Below are 3907 nucleotides of genomic sequence, written 5' to 3'. Positions count from 1 at the left end.
TCCTTATTGTTTCCATGACTCTCATCTCTTATTAAAGGCAGCTAACTTGATGTGATATGAAACAATAGACTCTGTGGGGGGAGGGGTGATTATCATAATCTGATTCTTACCTCAGTGCTGGATCCATTGTTTGTCTTAAGCTTGACATGGAGGTTTCAATGAGTCTTGAAATATTAGGTTGATGCAAATTGTGGTTTCAGACCATGAATTTTAAATCATTATAACTAGGCTCAAACACATTTTTGTTCATCAAAATAAGAACCATTACAATCAACACCTTTTTGCCAACGAGAAAGAAGTTTGTTCTTTCCTGTAGCATAAAAATCCATGCTTCAGGATCTGACAAACTCTTGGAAAGTATTTTCTGCATCCTGCTGGTTGTGGAAGCATTTTCCCTGCCAAAAGTTGTTGAGATGCTTGAAGAAATAGCAGTCAGTTGGTGAGAGGTCAGGTGAATATGGCAGATGAGGCAAAACTTCATAGCCCAATTCATTCAACTTTTGAAGCATTGGTTGTGTGATGTGCAGTCGGGTGTTGTTGTGGAGAATTGGGCCCTTTCTGTTGACGAATGCCAGCTGCAGGCATTGCAGTTTTCAGTCCATCTCATCAATTTGCTGAGCATACTTCTCAGATGTAATCGTTTTGCCAGGATTCAGAAAGCTGTAGTGGATCAGACCAGCGGCAGACCACCAAACAGAGACCATGACCTTTTTTTGGTGCAAGTTTGGCTTTGGGAAGTGTTTTGAAGCTTCTTTTTGGTCCAACCACTGAGCTGTCATCACTGGTTGTCGTATAAAATCCACTTTTTGTCGCACATCACAATCGGGTCAAGAAATGGTTCATTGTTGCATAGAATAAGAGAAGATGACATTTCACAACGACGATTTTTTTTTCACTCAGCTCATGAGGCACCCACTTATTGAGCTTTTTCACCTTTCCAATTTGTTTCAAATGCCAAACGACCATAGAATGGTCGATGTTGAGTTCTTTGGCAACTTCTTGTGTAGTTTGTAAGAGGATCGGCTTCGATGATTGCTCTCAATTTGTTCTCAACTTCCAATAGCTGGTGACTATGTGCCTCATCTTCAAGGCTCTTGTCTCCTTTGCAAAACTTCTTGAACCACCACTGCACTATACATTCCTTAGCAGTTCCTAGGCCAAATGCGTTGTTGATGTGAGTTGTCTCCACTGCTTTATGACCCATTTGAATAAAATTGCTCGAATTTGCTTTTTGTCTAACATCATTTTCATAGTCTAAAATAAATATTAAATAAACAGCAATCAGTAAGTCATTACCAAAAAAAGCAAAAAAAAGTGCCTTAAAATGATGTGTAACATAACCACATTTATTTAAGAATGTATTCCAATATCAAATGGCAAATTTCAACAATGCAAAAACCGTGATTACGTTTGCACCAACCTAATGAACTTTGTTTTCTTTTTTTTCCCCATAAATATTTTGCTTACGTATTGAAATAAACTTTGAATAAGAGGCTTACCTCTTGGGTCCAGAAACAATTAGATTTTCCAATCCCGTCAGGCTTTTAATATAAAGATTCTCTGTATTCTCTTTCACTTCTGTTTGCAAACTGACCAATTCTTGCCTGAGCTTATCTCTTTCTTGTAATACCTTGCTAAACCACTACCAGTTAGCATTCAGGATCTTACCAGAGAGCTACTGGTAGGCATGTGGTCTGTCTTCTAAGTTATTAAATAATATAGGTAACAGTTTTACCAGTTATCTTGAGGTTCCCAGCTTTCTGGCTCACACTATTTCTTCATCACTCACTGCCTGAGAATTAAGCAAGTGCTATAAAATTTAGGTTTTTGTTATAGTAGTGCTCCACTTTCATGGTACTAACTGTCGTGGTAGTTAAGGCAGGCCTAGCTGCTGTAACAAAAAGGCTCTATCAAATTTAGAGGCTTAAAAAACAGAGAAGTCTGTTTCTCTCATGTCACATTGTAACCTGAGGCTTCTAGGTTTCCACATAGTCAGACAGTGATCCAGGCTTCTGACAGATCTGCCATGTTTAATATGAGAATTCCAAGGTCACTGTAGTCATTTTCATTCTAGCCAGTGGAACAGGAGAAGGAGGAATCATCCAGGGCCAGGAACTGTCTCTTAAGCAATAGACTTGTACTCATTATTTCTGCTCAAATTCTACTGATGAGAACTCAGACCTATGGTCACATTGTTGACCTAAAGAAATAAACTCAAGCAAAATTAATACAAGTAGAGAGTCTATTTGGGCCAAGGTTGGGGACTGCGGCCCAGGAAACACTGGGAAGTACTCTGTTTCGATTTTGTTACAAGTAGGATTTTAAAGGCAAAAGGAAACAAAGAGTGGGTTGATATAAAGTTGTTTGATAGGAATCTCATTGGTTTACAGAAATAACATTGATTAGTAATTAGCTATACATTGTTGAACTACAAGGTATGAGTTATGGTGTCCAGAATATGGCATTGTTAGGTTAATTTATGGCTACTTGGCATCCGTCAGTCTAGAACCCACATAGCAAGTGACTTCAAGAGGTGATTACTTATCTCAAACAGAGTGAGATGTGACTACTGTCATATTTCACTGCCTCTCTGGACTTGATAATTTAAAGGGGCTCATATTCCTCAGATAAAAAGTTTCTTTTCTTTTTCAACATCTAGTTTCAAGGTGAGGCAGGAGAATAGGGACTGGGGGCAGGGAATCTAAGGAATTCCTAGAACTAAATTAAATGGAAAAACTCCAACTCTCTAAGACTAAGTCAGCTACGACAGGAAATATCCTCTTTATTTACATAGGGGGCATACACGGAGTAAATGACTTTGTAACTTACTTCATCCTCTTCATTGACATAGGGCGTATACCAAGTAACCAGTGGAAACCTCTAGAGGGTATTTAAATCCCAGAGAATTCCGTAACTAGGCCCTTGAGCTGCTTGCTTAGACCCAGTCCCATCCTGTGAAGTGTGCTTTCATTTTCAATAAATCTCTGCTTTTGTTGCTTCATTCTTTCCTTGCTTTGTTTGTGTGTATTGTCCAATTCTTTGTTAAAAACGCCAAGAACCTGGACACCCTCCACTGGTACATATTTTAGTGAGCCAGCCAGGAGATAAGCCCAAAGTTTGGGATTTATTTTTCTCCTCTTTCTTTCTGCTCTGTACAAGGGAAACTCTCTCTCTCTCTTCCTTTCCAACTCAGGACCCTTGGTGGGCAGCGCCTAAACATGGAGGCAACTGCAGGTTTCTGGCTGGGGCCACTCTCCAGTGTTGCCTGAAGGCCAAGGAGTGAAACAGGGTAGTTGCCCTGCCCAGAAAGGGGAAGGACTCTTTTCTGACTTTTCCAGTTTTGGTCCCTGATCCCTACTTGTGGAGTCGCTCCCCCAGGGGGACCTCACACGCATTTCAGGTGACTTAAACCTTCTTTTCTTACGCTAAATTCTTCCCTTCGGCTACTCAGTTGGCTAAGGACAAAGGAAACTTACCCAGCCTCCAATTCCTGTCATTACAGTTCATGGCTATCACTCTAGTGAATGGGAAACACGGGAAAGTGTGGCCTTATCAAATTATAAGGATGCTAAAAGTCGGGATTACACCCAGGAACCAAAGGAAAGCTCATAGTAGGCCGTTGCCTCTGGAGGGAATGCATGCAAAGTGGCACCAGTGCCCACCCCACCTAAGGTTAGAGATTTCTGACACTAGAAAATTGGACCCCAAAGGGGGACACCCCAGGGGATCCTCCAGATCTCAACCTCCCCAAAGAGGATGCCCTCGGCAGAGATTCTGAGGCCTAGTACTAAGCCCTCCTTAGAATTTTCTCTCACAGTTGCAATATTGTTTGGCTCCCATATTGTTTAGAATCTGGAATTTGCTGTTGAATGGAAAGTGGGATGGAGTTGCATGTATCCAGGCTTTT

The 3907-nt window shown here is 40.9% G+C and overlaps 1 annotated feature.

Moving 5' to 3' along the window:
* Window positions 3160-3661: an enhancer, noted in NCBI's record as "NANOG hESC enhancer chrX:40676071-40676572 (GRCh37/hg19 assembly coordinates)". NCBI's record gives its function as "activates a minimal SCP1, AML or CMV promoter by ChIP-STARR-seq in naive H9 embryonic stem cells {active_cell/tissue: H9 hESC(naive)}" and the evidence as "EXISTENCE:reporter gene assay evidence [ECO:0000049][PMID:30033119]".

The sequence above is a fragment of the Homo sapiens genome, chromosome X (genome assembly GCF_000001405.40).
Source record: "Homo sapiens chromosome X, GRCh38.p14 Primary Assembly".
Taxonomy (NCBI): Eukaryota; Metazoa; Chordata; class Mammalia; order Primates; family Hominidae; genus Homo; species Homo sapiens.
Note: the sequence above shows the minus strand (reverse complement) of the source record. Positions and strands in the feature narration are given on the sequence as shown.